This window comes from Homo sapiens, chromosome 15 (assembly GCF_000001405.40).
Source record: "Homo sapiens chromosome 15, GRCh38.p14 Primary Assembly".
Lineage (NCBI taxonomy): Eukaryota > Metazoa > Chordata > Mammalia > Primates > Hominidae > Homo > Homo sapiens.
In genome coordinates this window covers 42,960,950-42,987,820 of record NC_000015.10, presented here as the reverse complement: position 1 = coordinate 42,987,820, position 26,871 = coordinate 42,960,950, and the positions used below count along the sequence as shown (strand labels likewise).

Below are 26,871 nucleotides of genomic sequence, written 5' to 3'. Positions count from 1 at the left end.
TCCATTATATTTTCTTCATTTAAATGTATTTTTGTAACAAGACACTTATATTTCATAATTTGAATTAAGTAGCATGAAGCCATATTTTTTTTTTTTTTTTTTTTTTTTTGAGACAGAGTCTCGCTCTATTGGCAGACTGGAGTGCAGTGGCACAATCTCGGCCACCACAACCTCCGCCTCCCAGATTCAAGCAATTCTCCTGCCTCAGGCTCCCGAGTAGCTGGGACTACAGGTGCACGCCACCACGCCCAGCCAATTTTTGTATTTTTAGTAGAGACGGGGTTTCACCATGTTGGCCAGGATGGTCTCGATCTCTTGACCTCGTGATCCTCCCGCCTCAGCCTCCCAAAGTGCTGGGATTACAGGCGTGAGCCACCACACCCGGCCTTGAAGCCACATTTTTTCCCAAAGCCTTCCTACATACTATCATTAGTTTCTTAATAGAGTTTAAGAGTCGCTTTCAGTGCCTTGGCAAAGGCAGGTTCCAGGCCACGGGCACCTGCCCTTAGCAGACCCCCTACCGGTGCCCTCAGAGGGCTCCTATGAGTGGGTTCATTGGCCTTGGCCCAGTGAGCCTCCGCCTACATTGATCTTAAGCCCATAGAGAGGGCCCATCCCGGCTCTGCCCCTGCCGGGATCCAGTTGCTGCCCCAGGGGGACTGATGGGCAAAGCCGCCCCTGTGGCTAGGCCGTGACCATCCTTGTCAGAGCCAGACTGCGGTTGGACATCTTGGGCCGAGCCCAGCACCATGCAGGGGCATGGGAGCTGAGGAAGCGCCGCTCAGGAGCTGGAGTCACCACTCCACCGTGTGCCTTCCAAGGATACCCAGGGGGTCAGTGGGCTGGCGGCTTCCTGCTGCTCCCTGTCAGAGTCAAAGCACAGATCCTCAGGGTGGGCTCAGGGGCCGAGGCAGCCCAGGGAAGCTCCGGGTGGGGACCGTGTCTTCCTGGGGTTGGTGCCCTCTGGCCGGGACCCTTTGCTGGCCCATGGTCCCCGGGTACTGCCGTGGCGTGGCCTCCCACCTGTCTGCCTGGTGGAGGGAGCTGTGGGGGTGGGGATGTGACTGAATAAAGCCACTGTGGGTGGATGTGCTTGGGGGAAAAAAAGTCACATCCAAACCTGTTAGACTTAAATCATGGGTATAGGATAATACATCAGTTTATATTTGCTATGATTCAATCAAGTGGGATATAGGAAAGGTGAGGTTTATATAAAATAGAGTCTGAACAAATTGATAAGAAATGTAAAGCATTCTTGTGGAGTCATGACATGCTAAGTCTCTTCAGACTTTCAGTGAAGCTATTTCACACTTTACTATTTTGGGGAAGATAAGCATTAGGAAATCAAGAATTTATATTTAGACCTTGAACATTAAAAAGGGGGCACAGTCTGTTATAAAGGAGATAGGAAATTCACTGCTGATAGAGCTGAATCTTTTCATATGTGGTTCTATAATCTAGTAATTGGATTCCATTTGATTAATATCATATTGTGTTCACTATTGTGCTTTTTCTATCAAGCAGGCATAATGCTCTACTTTATTCTTAGTACATAAACAACTAACTTATCTCAGTCCCTGTGGAGATGGAGAGATATGTACAGAATGCATTGGCATAGGATAATAGTTGAGGAATCAAAACAAAGCGTCCTTTGAATTACTGTTTATGCAAAGATGAAAAAAAATGCTTCCACACTCGTATCTGCTGCTAAGGATCAGTGAAAATAAGAGTAATTTAGGAATAAATACCATGGACAACAAAACACAAATCTGTGATTTTGGTATTTTAATTTTCTCTTTTTCTTTCTCTTTTTTTTTTTTTTTTTTTTTTTGAGACAGGGTCTCACTTTGTTGTCCAGGCTGGAGTGCAGTGGTGCAGTTATGGCTCACTGCAGCCTTAGCCTCCCCAGGCTCAGGTGATCCTCCCACCTCAGCCTCCTGAGCAGTTGGGACCATAGGCATGTGCCACCACGCCCAGCTAATTTTTGTGTTTTTTGTAGAGACAGGGTTTCACCATGTTGTCCAGGCTGGTCTTGAACTTCTGAGCTCAAGCAGTCCTCCTGCCTCACCCACCCAAAGTCCAGGGATTACAGGCATGAACCACTGCACCCGGTCTCATTTTCTTTTTTTCCTATTGATCTTTTCTAATTCTTTTAAAATTGTACCCGAGGTCGGGCGCAGTGGCTCACGCCTGTAATCCCAGCACTTTGGAAGGCTGAGGTGGGCGGATCACCTAAGGTCAGAAGTGCGAGACCAGCCTGGCTAACATGCTGAAACCCTGTTTCTACTAAAAATACAAAAATTTAGCTGGCGTAGTGGTGCACGCCTGTAATCCCAGCTACTGAGGAGGCTGAGGCAGGAGAATCGCTTGAGCCCAGGAGGTGGAGGTTGCAGTGAGCCGAGATCGCGCCATTGCACTCCAGCTTGGGCAACAAGAGCGAAAGTCTGTCTCAAAAAAAAAATTGTACCCAAAAGAGCAATGAAGTTGTTTGTATCTGCCTTACATATTATTTTTAAACAAAATAGGCTATAATTACATATATAAATTACTTATTTTAGAAAATTTTGCATAAAAAAGATGCTGAAATGAGAAGAAGCAGTCCAGGCTGCTTTGTTTTTCCCAAGCATTCTTATAAGATTGCTGCAGGTGCTTTATTTTTTATGCTAGTAATTTGTAAATGATATACATTTGATTCTCTAATTTTCTCTCACTCAAAAATTGGAAAATTTTGGCATAGACTTAAAACACAAGACTTTGAAGGGGAAAAATGCAAATCATCTCATCAAAAATATTATTAAAGAACATTTGATAAAAAGTACAGTATATGATTATAGCACTATTCAGGATTTATTATTTTTATTTTTTTTTATTCTTTGAGAAAATCTATTGGGAGATGAAGGAAAACCTCTGTTTGGAGCACTTCAAAATAGGCAGGTATGTATATTCCAACAAGGTACATGTAACTCATGGCATGCCTTTTTTCCCCCCCACAGTTTATTATTAAAAACAAAAAATCTTTACTCATTTTCTGTAAAAATTAGCAGAATTCTATAGTGGGGAAAAAAGGAACTGCATCAGTCTTATAGGAAACTGAATAGCATGTGCACTTTACAGCGCTTACTCAATCTCAGAGGTTAAGTGTAATTCATACAGAGATTTCATGTGATGATTACTTTTTCTCCCTTTGTTTGTTACATTTCAAAATCCTGATGTTTCCTATATTTTTCCTTCTCACTAATTTTACACCATTATATAACATTGAGTATTAATGCTGGCTTAGCTCTGGATGAATCATCATACTGAATTCAAAAATAAAATTAAGACATGACTCCTTGATGGGCAGATACTGACACTACTGTAGGACTCTACTCCTGCCCCAGGCCTAAACCTCTTTACATAGTGATCCCTGGAAAACAGTACTAAAGAAATATGCAGAGTAGCCCTGTGAAGACAAAAGGGGTAATTGAGGTTGCCATTCCTTCCCTGCCATTTCCCTCTTATTTTTCTGACAGCTGGCACAGAAGACTAGAAGACTTGTGGTACACAGTGTGCTCAGCTCTGGGGAAAACACTTTTTATGTGAAAATTAAAATAATTATAGCTTTAATACCACTTTTTTATAAGAAAATCTATTAGAAATTTAGCAAGGCCATAAAACCTTGTACAGGTATTAAGAATATTGTAATTTATTTGCAATGATATAAGGTATATAATGAGTCTGCAGCTAATTCCGACAAACTAGAGTTGGTTTTTACCAACTCTTAAGTGGATGACTTAGGTCTCTCATCTTCCCTCATCTTTTTATCTTCCTTCTCTCTTACAATCTAGCATAATGGTCTGAAAGCATTAATGCAGTTTGCAGTTGCACAGAGGATTACCTGTCCTCAGGTCCTGATACAGAAACATCTGGTTCGTCTTCTATCAGGTAGAGTCTTCTCTGAACTATTATTATGTATTATATTATTTATATATCTTTTTCTATTGCATTTCTGGCAGTGTATTTCATTAGGAAACAACATACACTGCACTAATTTTGAGCACTCACTAATGAAATTTTACCACCTACAGAAGCCATGCAAAAAACAGATAAACACATAGCTGCCTCTGTAAAACTTGTGATATTATTATTATTATTATTATTATTATTATTATTATTGAGTGGGAGTTTCGCTGTTGTTGCTGAGGCTGGAGAGCAATGGCGCAATCTCGGCTCACTGCAACTTCCACCTCACGTGTTCAAGTGATTCTGCTTTCTCAGCCCTCTGAGTAGCTGGAATTACAGGTGCCCGCAACCACGCCCAGCCAATTTTTGTATTTTTTTTTTTTAGCAGAGATGGGGTTTCACCATGTTGGCCAGGCTGGTCTTGAATTCATGACCTCTGGTGATTCGCCTGCCTCCACCTCCCAAAGTGCTGGGATTACAGGTGTGAGCCACCACTCCTGGCCTTCATGACCTTATTTTTAAAATCTGTATTTTCCAAATATTTTCAACTTATGTTTCTCTACCTGCCTAGGTTATTGAACCAGTGTCTACAACCACTAACATCCATGTATCCCCAATCCAGTTAGAAAAGGGAGCAGTGATGTGGATAGATCATTTTAAAATATGTTTAGTTTTGTTTGTGGGTCAAATTCTTATGAAATAATGGAAATGCTACATTCAGTAATCGCAGAACTCAGTTCCATGCCCATTTCTTTGACAGGCTGGCTATAACAGCTAATCTTCTCAGATTCTAACAAGTTAGAAATTTACTAAGAGTTCATATGGTGATCTCAATTAGTATAGAAATAAAATGCAGGGTAAGTCATTACACAGCATTAGAGTGATTTTGCTTTCCTTTTGGTTATCTGCATTTCCATCTGTGCATTTGAAGTCTACTATAAGCTCCTCTGCACCCAAACAGACCAGGCTTTAAGAGAGTTGTTTGTAAATCTGTTTGTTCATAAGTCCCAAATGTCACGAGTAGGGTAGTTTCAGCGTGCACTTCCCAGATATATTTCTACCAAATAAGAGTTATTCAGATTTTTTACGCTTTAAATCCAGGCATAATTTTCTTGTAGCTGAACTAGCAGACATTTTTTTTTTCCAGCAAAATAGACCTACTTCTTTACCTTGAAAATCTATTGAAGCCAATAGTGTTTTTCCTTGTCAATCCCCACAAGCTTCTTAGGGAGCTCTTCCTGAGCAGCTTTCCGCTCATCCTGTTGATGTGGAGATTCCACAACTCCTTCCAAAGCTACCATCCAAGTTTTGTTAGAACTTCTGCCATGCTTAGCTTTTATATTTTCAAATTAACTTCCAGGTGTCTCCTGAATTGGCTTCATGCTAATAGAAATCTAATGTTGATGCTGTTCCACTAGTCACACACTTAAAAGTTTTCCCTTCTTTCACTTACTTTTTTCCCTTCTTGGTCAGTTGCACAGGGCCAGAACCTTCCATATGTCACATGCGCCTGTCTTTGTTTTTAGGACCTCTTTCTGTTGAACAGTTTATCCTATTTGCATATCACTATTTTGTTTTTGTTTTTTAATTTTTTGGTATCTTTTTCATTTCAGTCATAATTTAGATATTTACTAATTCTTCCAAATGGTTTCACTGCTTTTGCACTTGTTAAACATTATGGGATTTACAATGTTTAAAACAGCTTATTGCCCAGCATAGTGACACACACTTATAATCCCAGCTTCTCAGGAGCCTGAGGGGGAGGATCCCTTAAGCCCAGGAGTTTGACACCAGTGTAGGCAGTATAGTGAGACCTTGTCTCAAAAAAAGCACCAAAGAAGGAGACTAACATTATCACAGATGGTAGAGACTAAAATGATGGTGTATAATCTCTAATTAGCAATACTGGAGGAATTTATGTAGTGTAGCTTTATGCCTATATATGAAAGTTTTTCATATGAACATTTATTAGAGGTGCATTTTTATTTGTAAGATGTTAGGGCTATCAGATATGTTCCTTGCCATTTTAATGCTTATGATTGAATTAAGCAGAACTTCTATAAAAACAAACATAAAATAGCCAAATGCCAGATATGTGCTTCACTAATACATGCTTCAAATATTGAGACAAGTGGCTGGGTGCGGCGGATCACGAGGTCAGGAGGTCGAGACCATCCTGGCTAACATGGTAAAACCCTGTCTCTACTAAAAAATACAAAAAATTAGCCAGGCGTGGTGGCGGGCGCCTGTAGTCCCAGCTACTCGGGAGGCTGAGGCAGGAGAATGGCGTGAACCCAGGAGGCAGAGCTTGCAGTGAGCTGAGATTGCCACACTGCACTCCAACATGGGCGACAGAGCGAGATTCCATCTCAAAAAAGAAAAAAAAAATTGAGGCAAGAAAGAAATCGCTTTGGGACTCTGCTGTTATCTCCTCTAACAGGGTAGGATTTGAACTGAGCCTTGAAGGGAGTACACATAATAGATAAATTGAGAGGAACAGAAGCTGCATTCCAAAAGACACAGGGCACATTTGAACAAAGATTGAGGAGGTAGGAAAGTGCGTGATGTGTTCAAGTAGATAGGTTTGATAGGAGTAGTGGCATCTATAGTTAGAAAAGCATGAAGGTTTTTTTTAATAAAATTACAGTGGCTTAAATGCCCCAGGCATAAGTTTGAACTTTATTCTTTAGGTAATCGGAATTTTTTGAAACGTTGTGGACAATAGTATTCTGAGCTTAATTTGATATTGAATAGGTTGGATTGAAGGAGGGAAAAATTAGAGGTAACATATGCATCTGAATGTGATAGCAGGAATTAGGGAAGACGTTGGGGTGGGCTGGGTCAGGGGCAAGATTTTGAACTAAAATGAATAGCAGAAAAATTGAGAGAAATAAGGAAGTCCAGAATAGGAGCTATTTTCTATGTAAAGTGATGAGTATTGTTTTAATATGTTGATTTCTGCAGTAGCAATAGGACAGGCCGGGTGTAATGGCTTACACCTGTAATCCCAGAACTTTAGGAAGCCAAGGTGAGCAGATCATTTGAGCTCAGGAGTTCGAGACCAGCCTGGGCAACATGGTGAAACCCCGTCTCCACAAAAAACTTAGCCGGGTGTGGTGGTGCACAACTGTAGTACTGGCTACTCGGGAGGCTGAGTTGGGAGTATCACTTGCACCCAGGAGGTCGTGGCTGCAGTAAGCCATGATTGTACTACTGCACTCCAGCCTGGGCAACAGAGAGAGACTTTGTCTCTAAATGGATGGATGGATGGATGGATGGATGGATGGATAGATAGATAGGACATACAATGCTCACTGCCATGTGCTATGCCTTGTCCTAGAATTTTTAAATAAAATCTAATTTCTAGTCACCATCCTTCAAGGAAATTATTCTCCCGATTTACGAGAAAACTGAGGCACAGGGAAGTTGCATGACTTGCCCATGGTAATAAAACCAATAAGAAGTAGAACTAATATTTAAACCCAGGCCTGACCATAAAGCCCATGATTTTCCCACTATATCATGTAAACTTTGCCGAGGTGTTTAATTGTGCATAAAGGGTTGGCTTAACCCATAGTTAAAATGAAAATATGCATACCAAAATTGACTTTTGATTTCAACAGAATTTTAAATATTTTTAGCAATCAGGGAAAGAAAAATCATTTTAAACTGCCTGTAAGAAAAATTTGATGACACAAAGAGTATTCTTTTGGCTGAAAAGATGATGGAAATTAGGACGAGGGATCAGGAATTATTTAAATATTTTGAGTAAGCTGTAACATTGAGAAAAAAATAAGATAGGTAGTATCATAGACATGCTAACTGAAATATCAGAAATATTACTAAAAGATAATTTGAGGAAATGGGACCTAGAAACAGCAAATGACTTGTTGAAGTCACATAGCTAGTTAATGTCAGAGCCCTATGATCACTTTAGTTTGTTTTATGTAGCCAATATTAATAACATTTATAGAGTGGTTACATATGCCAAGCTTGGATAAGTGCTTTAAATTCATATGTTGACCTGGAGCAGTGGCTCACACCTGTAATCCCAGCACTTTGAGAAGCCAGGGGAGGTGGACCTCTTGAGGCGAGGAGTTCAAGACCAGCCTGGCCAACGTGGCAAAACCCCATCTCTACTAAAAATAAAAAATAAAAAAATTAGCTGGGCATTGTGGCAGGTGCCTGTAATTTCAGCTACTTGGGAGGCTGAGGCAGGAGGATTGCTTGAACCGAGGAGGCGGAGGTTGTAGTGAGCCGAGATTGCACCACTGTACTCCAGCCTGGGGGACAGAGTGAGACTCCATCTCAAAATAAAATACATAAATAATAAATTAATTTGTTAATGAACCTCCCAACAAACTTGCATATACTGCATGTAAACTTAGAGAAGTTAAGTCGCCTGTCACTTGCCCATGACCAGTAGTCACAGCCAATACTGGAAGCCATTTTAGTCTGACTTCAAAGCCCCTGATCTTAACCTTTATGCTTTTTGTTTAGAATCTTGGAATTTGAGGTTAAGAAATTGATCTAGTTACATGGCCAGGCGTGGTGACTCATGCTTGTAATCCCAGCACTTTGGGAGGCCGAGGCAGACACATCACCTGAGGTCAGAAGTTCGAGCCTGGTCAACATTGTGAAACCCCATCTCTACTAAAAAAAAAAAAAAGAAAAAAAGAAAAAATTGGTTGGGCACAGTGGCTCATGCCTGTAATCCCAGCATTTTGGGAGGCCAAGGCAGGTGGATCACGAGGTCAAGAGATCGAGACCATCCTGGCCAACATGGTGAAACACCATCTCTACTAAAAATACAAAAATTAGCTGGGCATGGTGGCACGTGCCTGTGGTCCCAGCTACTCGGGAGGCTGAGGCAAGAGAATCGCTTGAACCCGGGAGGCAGAGATTACAGTGAGCCAAGATTGTACCACTGCACTCCAGCCTGGCAATAAAGCGAGACTCCATCTCGAAAAAAAAAAAAAAAAAAAAGCCGGGCGTGGTGGCGCGTGCCTGCAATCCCAGCTACTCAGGAGGCTGAGACACAAGAATCACTTGAACCTGGGAGGCGGAGGTTGCGGTGAGCCGACATCATGCCACTGCACTCCTGCCTGGATGAGAGAGCAAGATTCTGTCTAAAAAAAAAAAAAAAGAAAAGAAAAGAAAAGAAATTTACCTAGTCTGAAAAGAGTCTTCTCCCTCATTTTTAAAAATAACAGCTTTATTTATGTGATGTTGAATCTTCTGAGCCAGAGTTCAGAACCAATACCTAGACCTACAATAATTCCTTCATTTTTATATAAACAAAACCATTCCTCTTGTCCTGACTTATTAATTTCACTTCTTTGCCACTCTTGCTCTCACTTTTGGAATTACAGCTTTTCCTTAGGCACGGACCAGATTAGAAAGATTAAGTAGCTTTTGAGCTGTTTGCATTTCCTCCAGATGAACAATCTATATAAACCATTATCTAATTTTGTTCAGGATGATCTTCTCCATCCTCATTTTACCTACTCTGTTTTGCATGTTCTTCCCACTCACAACCCCAATTTTGTTCACATATTATGTATCACAGAACGTTTAGAAATGGAAGTCAGAAAACAAGTGATAAAGGGAACATTGTATAAAAGTAACTCTTCTCATTCATTCAACAAATGTTTCTTTAACAATCTCTATATTTCAGTTGTCCTAGTTCACGTGCCATTTCCACCTAGATTTTACCTTTTAACCCTTAAACTGTATCCAAGGCTTTCTAGCAGCCTTTTCTCAGTTCAGTTTGTCTCTCATTATGGTTTTCATATCTCAAAGGTGTGATGTATTAGTTTCTGTATTTTATAACCCTGTTATATGTTTGGTTTAGGTGTTTTTAGCTTGCATTTTATTTACCTACACTGCTATCTTACTGACTGAATTACATTAACTTTTTGTTTGTTTTAGTTGTTCTTCCTAACATAAAATCAGAAGATACACCATGCCTTCTGTCTATAGATCTGTTTCATGTTTTGGTAAGTGTTCAGTAATTTTGTTTAAGTCACTCATGTTGATAATTTCTTGTATTTTCCTCATTTAAATTCATGCCCTTTGTTCAAGATTATAAATTCTTTGTGTTTAATCTATAAAGTTTGGTCTCTCCTGTCCATTGTTTACAAATAGGTACAGATTTGATGGAGACTGTCAAAATCATTAAAAAAAAAAAAAAAAAGCACTTCAATTTGTAATAGGTCTTGTCCTGGTTGATTACATTAGTGGGTGTCTGTACAGACAAGCCTTTTCTAATTCATATTATGCTCCTCTTCTGGCCTTTTTCTTAAGTTGTATATATGATATGCAGTCAATGACTGTGTGAGCTCTCTTAAAATCATTAATTATTTGGTGATGAGGACCAGACCATGGGTGTATCTAGGCTTCCTCAAAACACCTATGGATGGATGGCAACTGCCCTTAGTTTTTTGTAGAGATTTTCCATTCCTGTGATGATCTCATTCCTTCAAACCAAGTTCCGTAGAGAAAGCAGTATTGAGATTGGGAGCATGGAGTTTATGGATGCAGGGGTAGCCAACATCCTCATCCCCCTCATTATCTAGGCCTCTACCCAGTGGTCATCAACCCTGACTGTCTTTTGGAATCTCCTGGGGAACTTTGAAAAGAATGCTATTAACTAGGCCCTACCCCAAGAGATTCTCATTTGGTTGGACTAGGGTAGGGCCTCTGTGTCAGTATTGTTTTAAGAACTCCTGTAATGTTGAATCTTTGAGCCAGAGTTCAGAACCACTACCTAGACCTACAATAAGTAGACACAGCAAAGGGATAACCTATTTGGTGGTGATCATCGTCCTCCATTTATGGTACATTATATTCTAAGATATTCTATTGAATAAATAAGAAAAATATGGTTTTTATTAAAAAACACACACACAAACACTGTGTAGCATCTGCTGCCCTTCACATTTAGTTATGACATTAATTTATGTTAGTCTTTTATCATTAGCCATATTGATGTCCATTTTTCTCTCATAGGTGGGTGCTGTGTTAGCATTCCCATCCTTGTATTGGGATGACCCTGTTGATCTGCAGCCTTCTTCAGTTAGTTCTTCCTATAACCACCTTTATCTCTTCCATTTGATCACCATGGCACACATGCTTCAGATACTACTTACAGTAGACACAGGTAAGGTTTTCATCTGGGTGTTGACTGTGAATAACATTTTGCCATGCTTTACTGGCAAAATTAATTATTCTTGTGATTATATAATGTATTTCTAGGTTCTGTGTTATGTTTTTTGTTGAATGATTATCTGTTTTTTAATGGATACTGTTTAAACAAGGAAAGGTAGAATAAGCTGTGAAAAAGATAATTAGGTGAAACTACCTAATTATCAACTGCTCTACAGATATGCAGGGAGACCACTTGGACCTGCTTTTCCCTCTTTTTCAAATTCCCCATCCTCGAGGTCTGTCCCTACATGAGTTTTTTCAACCTTTTGATAAGGAGGTCCCTAAAACCATTCTTAATTCCTTCAGCTAGAATGATAGTACTTTCTTCCCCTTGTAGCATTTATCATTAGTATCTTGTTTTATAGTTATTTCTGGTTATATCTTACTGTTGTTCTGCTCCTTTCCCTGTTTCTCCTCTCTCTCTGCTCCTTTGTCCTCAGTGTAAGTTTCTTGATGATAGGAAACAATGAAATATCAACATCTTCCCTCTAAAACTGCAAGTATCTGGTAACACTTGTTAAACCCAGTAAACACTCATTAAATGTCTTTTGAATTAATGTTCATTTGAAGATACATTAGTAATACAACATTATGGAATGATGATACAGTTTTTCTTTTGGAGTCTGGTTTTTAATAGGAAGCAAAGTCTGGGGGCTGGGTGCAGTGGTTCATGCTTGTAATCCCAGTACTTTGGGAGGCCAAGGCAGGAGGATCCCTTAAGCTCAGAAGTTCAAGAACAGCCTGCACAAGATGGTGAGACCCTATCTCTACAAAAAAATTTTTTTTTAATTAGCTGGGCATGCTGCTGCGTGCCTGTAGTCCCAGCTACTTGAGAGGCTGAGGTGGGAGGATCACTTGAGCCCAGGAGTTTGAGGCTGCAGAGTGCTGTGATTGCACCATGCAGAGTGCCTTTACGCCATGGCACTCCAGCCTGGGCAACAGAACAAGATCTCATCTCTTAAAAAAAGAAGAAAAAAAAAACCCAAAGCAAAATCTGGTCCTGGGTATCAGTGACCAATAAGGGCTTCTGAAGATTCATATAATGTAGAGAACAAACATAATTAAAGTGATGTCAGAATAAAATATGGCAAAATTACATGTGCATTTACCCTGTGGTACACCAACTCCATTTCTAGGAATTTATCCCAAAGCTTTACCAGCAAAAATATGAAATGATACAAGCACGACATTATTTATTGTGATATTACTTGGGATATCAAAAAAAACAGAAACAATTTAGCTGTCCATCGATGGGAGATTCTTTGAATAACCTATGATGTACCATATAATGAAATTCTATGCAGTTTTAAAAAGGAATGAACAAGATCTGATATGAATTGATCTCCATGATGCAATAAGTTAAAAAAGTAAGGTACAGAATAGTGGCTATAGTGTAGCATTTTTCTGTAAGGTATTTTATGCATATATGTGTTTATATACATTTTTGCTTATGTGTTTTATAAAAGAGACAATAGAGGCCGGGTGGTGGCTCACACCTGTAATCCCAGCACTTTGGGAGGCTGAGGCAGGTGGATCACCTGAGGTCAGGAGTTCGAGACCAGCCTGACCAACATTGTGAAACCCCGTCTCTACTAAAAATACAATAATTAGCCAGCGTGGTGGCAGGTGTCTGTAATCCCAGCTACTCAGGAGGCTGAGGCAGGAGAATTGCTTGAACCCAGGAGGCAGAGGTTGCAGTGAGCTGAGATCATGCCATTGCACTCCAGCCTCCCGATAAAAATCCATGCAGGTTATTATTGTGGATATCAACAAACTGATTCTAAAGTTTATGTGAGCCAAGCCCAGTGGCTCATGCCTGTAATCCCAGTCCTTTGGGAGGAATTTGAGCCTGGGCAGCATAGTGAGACTCTGTCTCTAAAAAAAAATAGGAAAATTTGCTGGGCATGGTGGCACATGCCTATAGTCCCAGCCGTTTGGGAGGCTGATGTGTAAGGATTGCTGTAGCCCAGGAAGTCAAGGCTGCAGTGAGTTGGGATTGCACCACTGCAGTCCAGGCCGGGTAACAGAGTGAGACCCTGTCAATCAACCAGAAAGTAAGTAATAAGTAAACAAACAAGTACATAAATAAATACATGAAGTATATATGGAAAGACAAAAGTCCTAGAATAGCCAGCTCAGTATTGGAGGAGAAGAAATTTGGAGGGTTGACACTACCCAACCTTAGGACTTACTATAAAGCTACAGTAATAAAGACAGTGTGGTTGGCAAAAGATTAGACAAATAGATCAATGAAATATGAAAGAGAGCCCAGATATAGATCCACATATTTGTAGTCAACTGATCTTTGACATTTGAGCAAAGGATCAAAGGTAGTCTTTTCAACAAATGGTGTTGGAACAAGTAGACACCCATGTCCAATAAAATGAATATAGACACAGACTTTACACCCTTCACAAAAATTAATTCAAAGCAGATCATAGACCTAAATGTAAAATGCAAAACTATAAAACTCCTACAAGATGGCTGGGCACGGTGGCTCACGCCTGTAATCCCTGCACTTTGGGAGGCTGAGGCGTGTAGATCACGAGGTCAGGAGATCAAGACCATCCTGGCTAACACGGTGAAACACGGTCTCTACTAAAAATACAAAAAATTAGCTGGGCGTGGTGGCGGGTGCCTGTAGTCCCAGCTACTTGGGAGGCTGAGGCAGGAGAATGGCGTGAACCCGGGAGGTGGAGCTTGCAGTGAGCCGAGATTGCTCCACTGCACTACAGACTGGGAGAGAGTGCGAGACTCCATCTCAAAAAAAAAAAAAAAAAAAAACTCCTACAAGTTAACATAGAAAACCTAGATGACCTTAGGTATGGAGATGACTTTTTAGATACAAAACCAAAGGCATAATCTGTGAGAGAAATAATTGATAGGCTGGACTTCATTATAATAAAATTAAAAACTTATGCACTGAAAGACACTGTCAAGAGAATGAGAGACAAGCCACATTCTGGGAAAAAGTATTGCAAAAAGTACTTCTGATAAAGGACTGTTATCCAAAGTATACAAAGAACTCTTAACACTCAACAATAAGAAAACAACCCAATTTAAAAATGAGCGATGAGGCCGGGTGCTGTGGTTTATGCCTGTAATCCCAGCCCTTTGGGAGGCCAAGGTGGGCAGATCACTTCAGCCGGGAGTTTGAGACCACCCTGACCAACATGAGGAAAACCTGTCTGTACTAAATGTACAAAAATTAGCCTGGCATGGTGTGCACACCCGTAGTCCCAGCTACTTGAGAAGCTGAGAGATAAGAATCAGTTGAACCCAGGAGGCATAGATTGCAGTGAACTGATAGCATGCCACTGCACTCCATCCTGGCAACGGAACAAGACTTGGTCTCAAAAAAACGGGGCAATGAGCCAGGTGCAATAGCTCATGCCTGTAATCCCAACACTATAGGAGGCTAAGGCAGGAAGATTGCTTGAGCCCAGGAGTTTGAGACTACCCTGGGCAACATAGCAAGATCCCGTCTCTAAAAAATAAAGTGGGCAAAGCACTTGAAAAGACACCTCACCACAGAAGATATACAGATGGTAAGTGATCATAATGTTCAACATCTATATGCCATTAGGGAATTGCAAGTTAAAACAATGAGATACCACTATACACCTATTAGAATTGCCAAAATCTAAAACACTGACACCACCAAATGCTGGCAAGTATGTGGAGCAACAGGAACTCTCATTTGTTGTTGATGGGGATGCAAAAGGTACAGTCACTTTGGAAGACAGTTTGACAGTTTATCACAAAACTAAATATACTCTTACCATATGATCCAGCAGTCATGCTTCTTGTATTTACCCAAATGAATTAAAAACTGAACTTCACACAAAACTGTGCACAAGGATGTTTATAGCAGCTTTATTCATAATTGCCAAAACTTGGAAGCAACCAAGACATCCTTCAATAGGTGGGTGGATAAATAAATTACAGTATATCCAGAGAGTGGAAATATTATTCAGTGCTAAAAAGAAATGAGTTATCGGCCGGGCACGGTGACTCACACCTGTAATCTCAGCACTTTGGGAGGACAAGACGGGTGGATCACCTGAGGTCAGGAGTTCAAGACTAGCCTGGCCAGCATGGTGAAATCCCATCTCCACTAAATAAATACAAAAATTAGCCAGGCATGGTGGTGCACACCTGTAATCCCAGCTACTCAGGAGGCTGAGGCAGGAGAATCGCTGGAACCCAGGAGGCGGGGGTTGCAGTGAGCCAGGACTGCACCACTACACTCCAGTCTGTGTGACAGAGCAAGACTCCATCTCAAAAAAATAAAAAAAATAAAAAGAAGAAATGAGTTACCGAGTGATGAAAAGATGGACAAAACCTAAATGCCTATTACTAGCTAAAATAAGTCAATTTGAAAAGGTTGTATACTATACAAATCCAACTATATGACACGCTAGAGAAGACAAAACTATAGGGTCAGTGAAAGGATTAGTGATTGCCAGGGGTAAGGGTGTTGGGGGAGGGCTGAATAGGCACAGCATAGAGGATTTTTAAGGCAGTGAAACTGTTATGAAAAATACTACAATGGTGCATGCATGTCATTATTACACATTTGTCCAAACTCATAGAATGTAAACACCAAGAATGAACCCTAATGTAAACTGTGGACTTTGGGTGATAATGGTGTGGCAATGTAGGCTCATTGATTATAACAAGCGTACAACACTGGTGCCAAATGTTGATAGGTGGGGGATGTTGTGTGTGCATAGAGACAGAGGGAATCCTCTGTACTTTCTGCTCAATTTTGCTGTGAATCTAAAACTTCTCTTAAAAAATAAAGTGTATTAATTAAAAAATAAAAATCTTATTTTGTGGGTGTATGCATTTGTCAAACTCATCATCAGATAGAGCACTTGATATTTGTGCACTTAATTGCATGTAAAATTTACCTCAAATTTATAAAGAATCCCTTAGAATTATTGAACTCTCTTACATTTGAATTGAAAAAATCAGTATGAATTCATGATGCATTTTTTAAAAGTATAGGAATAAAGAGATGTTATTTGGAAAATGAAAAGGACTAGCAGTATTCATTCAAGATATGATAAAATTACTGAGGGCAACTTGAATCTTGACCTTCCAGATGAATTAATACATAAACAAAAGCATTTTTAAAACAACAGAGCACTACTCAAATGTGCTATAACTATACCTCACAGCAAACTACAAGGTAGACATTTGTATATCAAGTTTAATACAATATTTCTGAAGTTCAGAGAACTTATGTAGCTTATCCAGAGCCTTAATGTAAGTGAGAGAGTTGGCAGTTGCTGGAAGGGTTTAGGATGGTCCTCCTTAAAGATAGGTTGATGGAGGAAAATAACCTCACAAAGTTCTCTTTATGGGACCCTTTGCTTGAGCATGAAGGCAGGACAGACACCTACTTCCCTTTCTAGAGGTTGAATTTCTATCTGCTGGCTTAGATTCCTAGGAACCCAAAGCAGGTTGATAACAATTTATTTCCATGGTCATATTATGATGAAGTAAGTATTTACATGTTTAGCAAGTAAATATTAAACATCCATGTTTAGTGATTCTGCCCTATTTGTTTCTCCAGCTAATATATAGATAAAGTTTACCTAACAACTTTAAAATTCAGCATCAACTACTTAGATTAAAAACAGGTGGGGCTGGGCATGGTGGCTTATGTCTGTAATTCCAGCACTTTGGAAGGCCAAGGCAGGTGGATCACTTGAGGTCAGGATTTCAAGACCAGCCTGACTAACATGGTGAAACACACTAAAAATACAAAATTAGCTGGGCATGGTGGCATACGCCTGTAATCCCAGCTAGTTGGGAAGCTGAGGCAGGAGAATTGCTTGAATCCGGGAGGTGGAGGTTGCAGCAAGCCAAGATCGCACCATTGCTCTCCAGCCTGGGCAACAAGAGCGAAACTCTGTCTCAAAAAAAAAAAAAGGAAAGAACCTCAGTTGAATGAATCTACGTTGTTTATTGTCTTGGAACAATGAAATTAAAGTCTAATTTGTAAACTGAATAGCAAATACATAATTCATCTTGCAGAATTTCTTTTTCAGGCCTACCCCTTGCTCAGGTTCAAGAAGACAGTGAAGAGGCTCATTCCGCATCTTCTTTCTTTGCAGAAATTTCTCAATATACAAGTGGGTGAGTAACAATCCATTAGTTCAGTCTATTGTAATAATTCCATTTCTTGTTCAGTTGTTTGGCAACGTAACATTTGAATCATTTAAATTCCAGTTAAAAATAATCAGTTATTGCCTAGGTTTTCTTGTAGGGTTTTTATGGTTTAGGTCTTACATTTAAATCTTTAATCCATCTTGAGTTAATTTTTATGTAAGGTGTAAGGAAGGGGTGTAGTTTCAGTTTTCTGCATATGGCTAGACAGTTTTCCCAACACCATTTATTAAATAGGGAGTCCTTTCCCCATTGCTTGTTTTTGTCAGGTTTGTCAAAGATCACATGGTTGTAGATGTGTGGTGTTATTTCTGAGGCCTCTGTTCTGTTCCATTGGTCTATATATCTGTTTTGGTACCAGTACCATGCTGTTTTGGTTATTGTGGCCTTGTAGTATAGTCTGAAGTCAGGTAGCGTGATACCTCCAGCTTTGTTCTTTTTGCTTAGGATTGTCTTGGCTATACGGGCTCTTTTTTGGTTCCATGTGAAATTTAAAGTAGTTTTTTCTAATTCTGTGAAGAAAGTCAGTGGTAGCTTGATGGGGATAGCATTGAATCTATAAATTACTTTGAGCAGTACGACCATTTTCACGACATTGATTCTTCCTGTCTGTGAACATGGAATGTTTTTCCATTTGTTTGTGTACTCTCTTATTTCCTTGAGCAGTGGTTTGTAGTTCTCCTTGAAGAAGTCCTTCACATCCCTTTTAAGTTGTATTCCTAGGTATTCTCTTTGTAGCAATTGTGAATGAGAGTTTGCTCATGATTTGGCTCCCTGTTTGTCTATTATTGGTGTATAGGGATGCTTGTGATTTTTGCACATTGATTTTGTATCCTGAGACTTTGCTGAAGTTGCCTGTCAGCTTAAGGAGTTTTTGGGCCATTCAGGACATAGGCATGGGCAAAGACTTCATGACTAAAACACCAAAAGCAATTGCAACAAAAGCCAAAATTGACAAATGGGATATAATTAAACAAAAGAGCCTCTGCACAGCAAAAGAAACTATCATCAGAGTGAACAGGCAACCTACAGAACAGGAAAAAATTTTTGCAATCTATCCATCTGACAAAGGGCTAATATCCAGAATCTACAAAGAACTTAAACAAATTTACAAGAAAAAAGCAAACAACTCTATCAGAAAGTGGGCGAAGGATATGAACAGACACTTTTCAAAAGAAGACATTTATGCGGCCAACAAACATGTAAAAAAGCTCATCATCACTGGTCATTAGAGAAATGCAACTCAAAAGCACAATGGGATACCATTTCATGCCAGTTAGAATGGCAATCATTAAAAAGTCAGGAAACAACAGGTGCTGGAGAGGATGTGGAGAAATAGGAACACTTTTACACTGTTGGTGGGAGTGTAAATTAGTTCAACAATTGTGGAAGACAGTGTGGCGATTCCTCAAGGATCTAGAACTAGAAATACCCTTTGACCCAGCAATCCCATTACTAGATATATACCCAAAGGATTATAAATCATTCTACTATAAAGACACATGCACACATATGTTTATTGCAGCACCATTCACAGTAGCAAAGACTTGGAACCAACCCAAATGCCTATCAGTGTTAAACTGGATAAAGCAAATGTGGCACATACACACCATGGAATATCATACAGCCATAAAAAAGAATGAGTTCATGTCTTTTGCAGGGATATGGATGAAGCTGGAAACCATCATTCTCAGCAAACTAACACAGGAACAGAAAGCCAAATGCCGCATGTTCTCACAAGTAGGAGTTGAACAATGAGAACATATGGGCACAGGGAGGGGAACATCACACACCAGGGCCTGTCAGGGGCTGGGGGAAAAGGGGAGGGATAGCATTAGGAAAAATACCTAATGTAGATGACGGGTTGCTGGGTGCAGCAAACCTCCACCATGACACATGTATACCTATATAACAAACCTGCACGTTCTGCACGTGCATAATAATAATAATAATAATCAGTTATGAAGCTAGGTGCAATGGTTCATGCCTGTAATCCGAACACTTTTAGAGGCCAAGGCAGGAGGATTGCTTGAGCCCAGGAGTTTGAGACCACCCTGGGCAACATTACAAGACCCTGTCTCTCTATTTAAAAAAAAAAAAAAAAATCTGTTAAGGGCTTTTAGCATGACTTTGTTTGCTACAGGATAGGTTTACAGTGAAGAAAATTTATTTTGATGATTTTACTTTGAAGTAAAAGATAGTAGGTTGGAATAACAGCTACCCACTTGTTTCTGAGACTGAAACAAGTTCAACACATCTTTACTTTTGTAAACTGTTCTGGAAGCATAGACAAAAGATGATTGGATTTTAAAAAAAGGAGTATTTAGAATTAAAATAAATGTAGAAAATAGAAAATAGGTTGTCCTTTTACAGTGATCCATACAATTGATGCACTCAGTGCATGCATGTAGTTACAGGTTAAGGCCCTTATTGAGTAATATGGAAAATACATTGGCATTTGTATTTTAACATGCATGTAATATATACATAACATACAATATGTACATATATTGTATAACAGTACATACTACATATATAATTTTTATATATATTCATAATATATATTTAAAATCTTATATATATTTAACCCTTGTGTAGAGGTTATAGTAGGAGTACGATAGGCATGCTCTGCTGAACTACATCTGCTGCCAAGTTCCCCTCATCAGTCACCTTTACCAGTCTTTCTTTTTTTTTAAGTTAATAGATTTTGTTTTTTAGAGACATTTTAGGTTTACAGAAAAATTGAGCAGAAAGTATAAAGAGTCGCCATTTGCTCCCTCCCCCTACCAGTTCCCGTATTATTAATACCTTGCATTAGGGAGGTACCATTTGTTACAATTGACTAACCAATATTAATACATTATGATTAACTCAAGTTCATAGTTTACATAAGATTCGCTTTACAGTATCATACAGAATAATTTAACTGCCACACACATCATTAGTCAATCTTAATATAGAAACCAGGAAATTATTAATTTTGTTTTAGCTAACAAGTTGCTTTGGTTAGTTATTGATAAATTTTTTTTCTCCACATTTCTTTACAAGGTTTTAATCTAAACAAAAAAAAAAAAAAGGAAGCTTTAGTAACCTTTAACTTTTATGTTGAAGAATATACTTTATTTTAGGCCAGTCACGGTGGCTCATACCTATAATCCCAGCACTTTGGGAAACTGAGGTAGGAGGATTGCTTGAGCCCAGGAGTTCAAGATCAGCCTGAGCAAGATAGTGAGACCTTGTCTCTATTTAAAAAAAAAAAAAAAAAAAAAACTAGTTGAGCATGGTCACTCAGACCTATAATCCCAGCACTTTGGGAGGCTGAGGCGGGCGGATCACCCGAGGTCAGGAGTTCGAAACCATCCTGGCCAACATGGTGAGACCCCTGTCTCCACTAAAAATACAAAAAATTAGGCATGGTGGCGTGTGCCTTTAGTCCCAGATACTCGGGAGGCTGAGGCAGGATAATCACTTGAACCTGGGAAGCAGAGGTTGCAGTGAGCCCAGATCGCAGCACTGCACTCCAGCCTGGGTGACAGAGCAAGACTCTATCTCAAAAAATAATAATAATAAAAATTTGAAAATAAAGAGTATACTTTATTTAAGAGTCAAGTTCCTTTAAAGTAGATTTTTTGGTTGCCTCTTTGTTTTTGTTTTGCTTTTGTTTTTTATCACCACCTAGGAAAAAGAAGAGTAGTTCCTTGCCTTAAAAATCCACATGGTAAAATATGTAAGATTTGTGATTTTCTTGAGGAAATTATTAGGAGATTTAAACACTGAAACTATTTGCTACTCAAATTTTTTTTTTTTTTTTTGAGTCAGCGTCTCGCTCTGTTGCCCAGGCTAAAGTACAGTGGCACAGTTTCAGCTCACTGCAGCCTCCACCTCCTGGGTTCAAGCAGTTCTCCCACCTCAGCCTCCCGAGTAGCTGGGATCACAGGTGCCCACCACCATGCCCGGCTAATTCAGTAGAGACTGGGGTTTTGCCATGTTGGCCAGGCTGGTCTTGAACTCCTGACCTCAGGTGATCCACCTGCCTTGGCCTCCCAGAGTGCTGGGATTATATTTTGTTTTAAATGTTTAAAAATTGCATGGATAATAAATTACCTAAATGTTTAACTTTGTATTTGAAAAGGGGGATATGTTTAAATCTAGGGCTTTAGTCTGATATGTATTCTGTTCTCTTCTGGAATTATTGTCTCCTAGCTCCATTGGGTGTGATATTCCTGGCTGGTATTTGTGGGTCTCACTGAAGAATGGCATCACCCCTTATCTTCGCTGTGCTGCATTGTTTTTCCACTATTTACTTGGGGTAACTCCGCCTGAGGAACTGCATACCAGTAAGTAGAAAAATGAAATCATGGAGTGGAAAATGGGAGATTTTCTTTGTTCTTACCTTCAAGCTCATGAATACAAGGTTAAAGCAGATAAAACCACTTCTCCTCTCCCCATTTCTTTCATGTGTGTTCCCTTCAAACATGAGCCCTGGTGTAGGTTAAAGGTGAGGCCAAAAAGTATATTAGCTTTATAATCTGCAAGACCTACTCTTCGCTCCTATCTATGTATAGGTTATGTGCTTGAGCTTATAAAATACCTGCATGCAGAATATAACTGATATGCTATACAAGAAATTAGAAACATTGGTTGTCTTTAGAGAAGAGAATTGTTTGGCTAGATAGGAGGAAGACTTTACTGTATACTCTGTTATTTAAATTTTGGACATGTAGGCCGGGTGTGGTGGCTCACGCCTATAATCCCAACATTTTGGGAGGCCGAGGCGGGTGGATCACTTGAGGTCAGGAGTTCGAGACCAGCAAGGCCAACATGGTGAAACCCCGTCTCTACTAAAAATACAAAAAAATTAGCTGGGCATGGTGGCATATTGCCTGTAATCCCAGCTACTCAGGAGGCTGAGGTGGGAGAATCACTTGAACCCAGGAGGCAGAGGTTGCAGTGAGCCGAGATTGCGCCACTGCACTCCAGCCTGGGTGACAGAGCAAGGCTCTGTCTCAAAAAAAAAAAAAAAAAGTACATATGACTACATTAAAGAATGAAAGTGCTGCTAGGAAAGGCCTACTAGAACCAACCTAGGCCATGCATATTTAAGCAATAGGATCACCTTCTCATTTACTTGCCTCTAAATCTAGACCAAAGTAGGGAAGCCTTCCTGTGGCTTTGTATGGGTAAAAATCAGAATATTTATATGATTTTGGAAGAGTCATCAAAATTGCTGAGATTCTTCCTTTTGTCCTTTGAGAATAAGCTGACCAGGTTACCGTTACTGGCTATCAGCTTCTTTATCTTGAACTCAGTTCAGTAGGGTTTATCTGATCTAGGTTTTTCATGGTCTTGTATAAAATAGGAGTCCACTTTCCAAGTAATTGCCAGCACAGATCTGTTGTTTGCTCACATACAAAAAAGTCATGTATTTATCTCATAGGTGCTACAGTACAGTTGTGAGTGAAATAAAGTCCTTTTTATTGGGAGGAATCCAATTATAAACAAATAGAGAAATACATATAATGTAATGTCAAATGCTGATAAATGTTGCAAGGCAGAATGAAGCAGTTCAGGAATAGAGGGTATTGGGGCCAGAGTGGGGAACTCTCTGAGATAGTTTTCATAGAATGCTTCTCTGTGAGGAGACATTGAGCAAACAGCTACATAGAGGGGGTTGAGTTGAACAGACAGTTGAAGGAAGAATATTCCTAAATAGAAGAAGTTATAAATGTCAAGGCTTCGTTTGACGTAGTCACAGAATTGCAAAGAGATGAGTATGGCTGAAGCCTAAGGGGGAGGGTAACAGGAGATGACAGGAGATGAGGTCTAAGAGGCAACCAGGGGCAGCTCACACAGGACCTTTGGGCCACGATAGGGACCTTGTATTTTATACTAAGTGTGGTTACACATTAGAGCCATCCGATCAGGAGAGTGACTCGATACAATTTATGTTTTAAAAAAATCACTGTGACTTATTTGCCACCCATGGGTTTTGTTTGTTTGTTTGTTTTTTGTTTTTTTTTGAGACGGAGTTTCGCTCTTGTTGCCCAGGCTGGAGTGCAATAGCGCGATCTCAGCTCACTGCAACCTCCACCTCCCGGGTTCAAGCAATTCTCCTGCCTCAGCCTCCCTAGTAGCTGGGATTACAGGCATGTGCCACCACGCCTGGCTAATTTTGTATTTTTAGTAGAGATGGGGTTTCTCCATGTTGGTCAGGCTGGTCTTGAACTCCCGACCTCAGGTGATCCGCCCGCCTCGGCCTCCCAAAGTGCTGGGATTACAGGCATGAGCCACCGTGCCCGGACTGCCACCCATGGTTTTATAGAATAAGCAATATACCCTCTACAAGGAGAGTGTAGAAATAAGCATAAACAGTGAAGAAACTCTAATGCACAGATTGACCAGGTAAGAATAATGTGCTTATTAAATGTATTTTTATTCTCTTGCAGATTCTGCAGAAGGAGAGTACAGTGCACTCTGTAGCTATCTATCTTTACCTACAAATTTGTTCCTGCTCTTCCAGGAATATTGGGATACTGTAAGGCCCTTGCTCCAGAGGTACTATGGGGATAAAATATTGTTGTTGGGTTATTATACAATTTGAAATTTTAAAATTACAATTACTTGCTAAGCTTTTAGTTCAATCAGCACTGATTAAAGGGGTGGCAAAAGTATAGGAGATTCCTAAGTTACACACTTAAGAAGTGGGGATAAGATCAACAGCCATAGGCAGTTGGAATTTCTGCTTGCTCCACTATAACTATCATTCATTTTATTTACTTTCCCCACAGCTGGTGTCTCATCTGTTTTAAATTGGGGGTGGGGGGTGGGGATTTTGCTAGCAGGCATAAAGTCACAGTTAGTATCAAAAGAACCCAAATTGGAACTGTATCCAAAATAGGAGCATATCTCACATGGTAGCGCATGTATCAGGAGAGTGACTGAGAAAAGAAGGAAGGTCATTTGGTAGATCAAAAAAAATACTTCAGTTAAATTTCCAAGAGAGAAATGTGTCCTTCTTTCAGAAAAACTTTTTACCCTATTGGTTACTGGCCCTCTTGTGCACTGTCAATGCTGCTAACCTCCAGTCTTCTTACCCTATCTTTGCCTGCACCATTTTCTATCATTTTTATAATCAGCTCTCACTGTATTGCTTTCCTTGCCCATCATTTCCTTTATTCTCCTTGCTTTCTACCTTTTTCTTTAATTGTCTTTTTTTTAAATACCCAGGTCAGTATTTGTGTGAACGTTGGCTTCTGTCTCCTACCACCCTTCTTGTGCAGTGGGTTCTCTGTGTTGGGTTCTTTTCTTTGCTTCCTCATTTCTCTCGAAATATTCTGATCTCTAGCGTGATCAAAATGAATTGTTTAAGAAAATCAGTATCATGCTTTGTGTTGAGTACAATCACAGTAGGTTAACTAATTTTACTTTTATATTCTTGGAGTAGAAAAGTCTTAATTGCTGTTCTAGTTCAGTCAAGTATTAAAAATTCACACTTTGAAACAGAAAGTCCTTGCCCTCTGTATCTTTCCAGACCCTCCTTGTCTGAAAGTCTTCTCTCATCCTCTGCCCTATGTTGCAGGAAAGTGACCCTGGGAATTTCCCAGTCTACCTTGTCAGCTGACTTCTGCATGGGTTCAGCCAGTGGGAGGGGAAGCACTGGCAAGATTTTGGTGGCCAGGAAAAAGGGAAGCCCCAGTGTTGGCCAGGCGTGGTGGCTCATGCATGTAATCCCAGCACTTTGGGAGTCCAAGGCAGGTGGATCACCTGAGGTCAGGAGTTCGAGACCAGCCTGGCTAACATGGTGAAACCCCATCTCTACTAAAAATACAAAAATTAGCCAGGCGTGGTGGCAGGTACCTGTAATCCCAGCTACTGGGGAAGCTGAGGCAGGAGACTCGCTGGAACCCAGGAGGCGGAGGTTGCAGTGAGCTGAGATCTCACCACTGCACTCCAGCCTGGGTGATGGAGCAAGACTCCATCTCCAAAAGAAAAAAAAAAGAGAGGCCCCAGTTCAGGCTAGCTCTGTCTGTCTTGTGGGGCATCTCTGATGGTGACGGCAGCTCTTGTCTGGCTCCAGTTCCCACCAGACAAGCCTGCTGTGATTCCAGTATCTGCTGGTGTCCCTAGCCTCTGGGCTCCATGATACCGCTGTTTCCTTTTGTTCCTCCAGCCTAGGGGAGTGGTGATCTTTAGTTTGCCTTGCCTTTTTGTCTCATGGTTGGCTTCTCAGCCCTTCCATCACTTTTATTACTAACTCCTGTTAAATTCTCTCTTGTTTAAATACTTAGAATGGTTTCTGTTTTTCTAGTAAGACCTTGGATGATATACTCTGTAAAAAATAAATGAATAAGAGAAGAAAAATAATTAGACACAACAAAGAAAGAGAGGAAAGAAAGGGAGAAGAAAAGGGGCAAAATGATAAATATAAATAAGTTAAATATAAGGTTGGGTGCGGTGGCTCACACCTGTAATCCCAGCACTTTGGATCACGAGGTCAGGAGTTTGAGACCAGCCTGGCCAAGATAGTGAAACCCCATTTCTACTAAAAATACAAAAAAAAAAAAAAAATTAGCTGGGCATGTTGGCGCACATCTGTAGTCCCAGCTACTCAAGAGGCTGAGGCAGGAGAATTGCTTGAACTCTGGAGGCGAAGGTTGCAGTGAGCCAAGACCACACCATTGGACTCCACTCTGGGCAACAGAGGTAGACTCCATCTCAAAAACAAAAAAAAAGATAAGTATAGAAAGAGGAACACAGAGCCAGGCACAGTGGCTCACACCTGTAATCCCAGCACTTTGGGAGGCCGAGGTGGGCAAATCACCTGAGGTCAAGAGTTCAAGACCAGCCTGGCCAACATGGTGTGAAACCCCATCTCTACTAAAAAAAAAGAAATACAAAAATTAGCCAGGCGTGGTGGCGCATGCCTGTAATCCCAGCTGCTCGGGAGCTGAGGCATCAGAATCACTTGAACCTGGGAGGCAGAAGTTGCAGTGAGCCAAGATCGCGCCATTGCACTCCAGCCTGGGTGACAGAGTGAGACTCCATCTAAAAAAAAAAAAAAAAAAAGAGGAACATAGGCCAGCACAGTGGCTCATTTGCATGTAATCTCAGCACTTTGGGAAGCCGAGGCAGGCTGATCACCTGAGGTCAGGAGTTTGAGACTAGCCCAGCCAACATGGTGAAACCCTGTCTCTACTAAAAAATAAAAAATTAACCGGGCATGGTGGTGTGTGCTTGTAGTCCCAGCTACTGAAGATGCTGAGGCAGGAGAATCACTGGAACACGGGAGATGGAGGTTGCAGTGAGTGGAGATCACCATTGCACTCCAGCCTGGGCGACAAGAGCAAAACTGTCTCAAAACAAAAAAAAAAAAAAAAGGGGGAACATAGAAATAGAAAGAAGGGACAGAAAGAATTGAAGAGAATGGCAAGGCTGGGCACAGTGGCTCACGTCTGTAATCCCAGCACTTTGGGAGGCTGAGGCGGGCGGATCACTTGAGGTCAGGGGTTTGAGACCAGCCTGGCCAACATGGGAAACCTC

The 26,871-nt window shown here is 40.4% G+C and overlaps 1 protein-coding gene across 1 annotated transcript in view; it reads left to right on the top strand.

Annotated features, from left to right (window-relative positions):
• The window catches only part of UBR1 (ubiquitin protein ligase E3 component n-recognin 1), a 163,142-nt gene that overhangs the window by 118,218 nt on the left and 18,053 nt on the right, over positions 1–26,871 (top strand). The window contains exons 36-42 of the mRNA NM_174916.3: positions 2,879–2,934; positions 3,828–3,924; positions 9,874–9,941; positions 10,954–11,104; positions 17,214–17,301; positions 21,535–21,668; positions 23,778–23,886. Of these exons, the coding sequence (NP_777576.1) occupies positions 2,879–2,934; positions 3,828–3,924; positions 9,874–9,941; positions 10,954–11,104; positions 17,214–17,301; positions 21,535–21,668; positions 23,778–23,886 (703 nt within the window). The remainder of the gene's footprint in view (positions 1–2,878; positions 2,935–3,827; positions 3,925–9,873; positions 9,942–10,953; positions 11,105–17,213; positions 17,302–21,534; positions 21,669–23,777; positions 23,887–26,871) is intronic.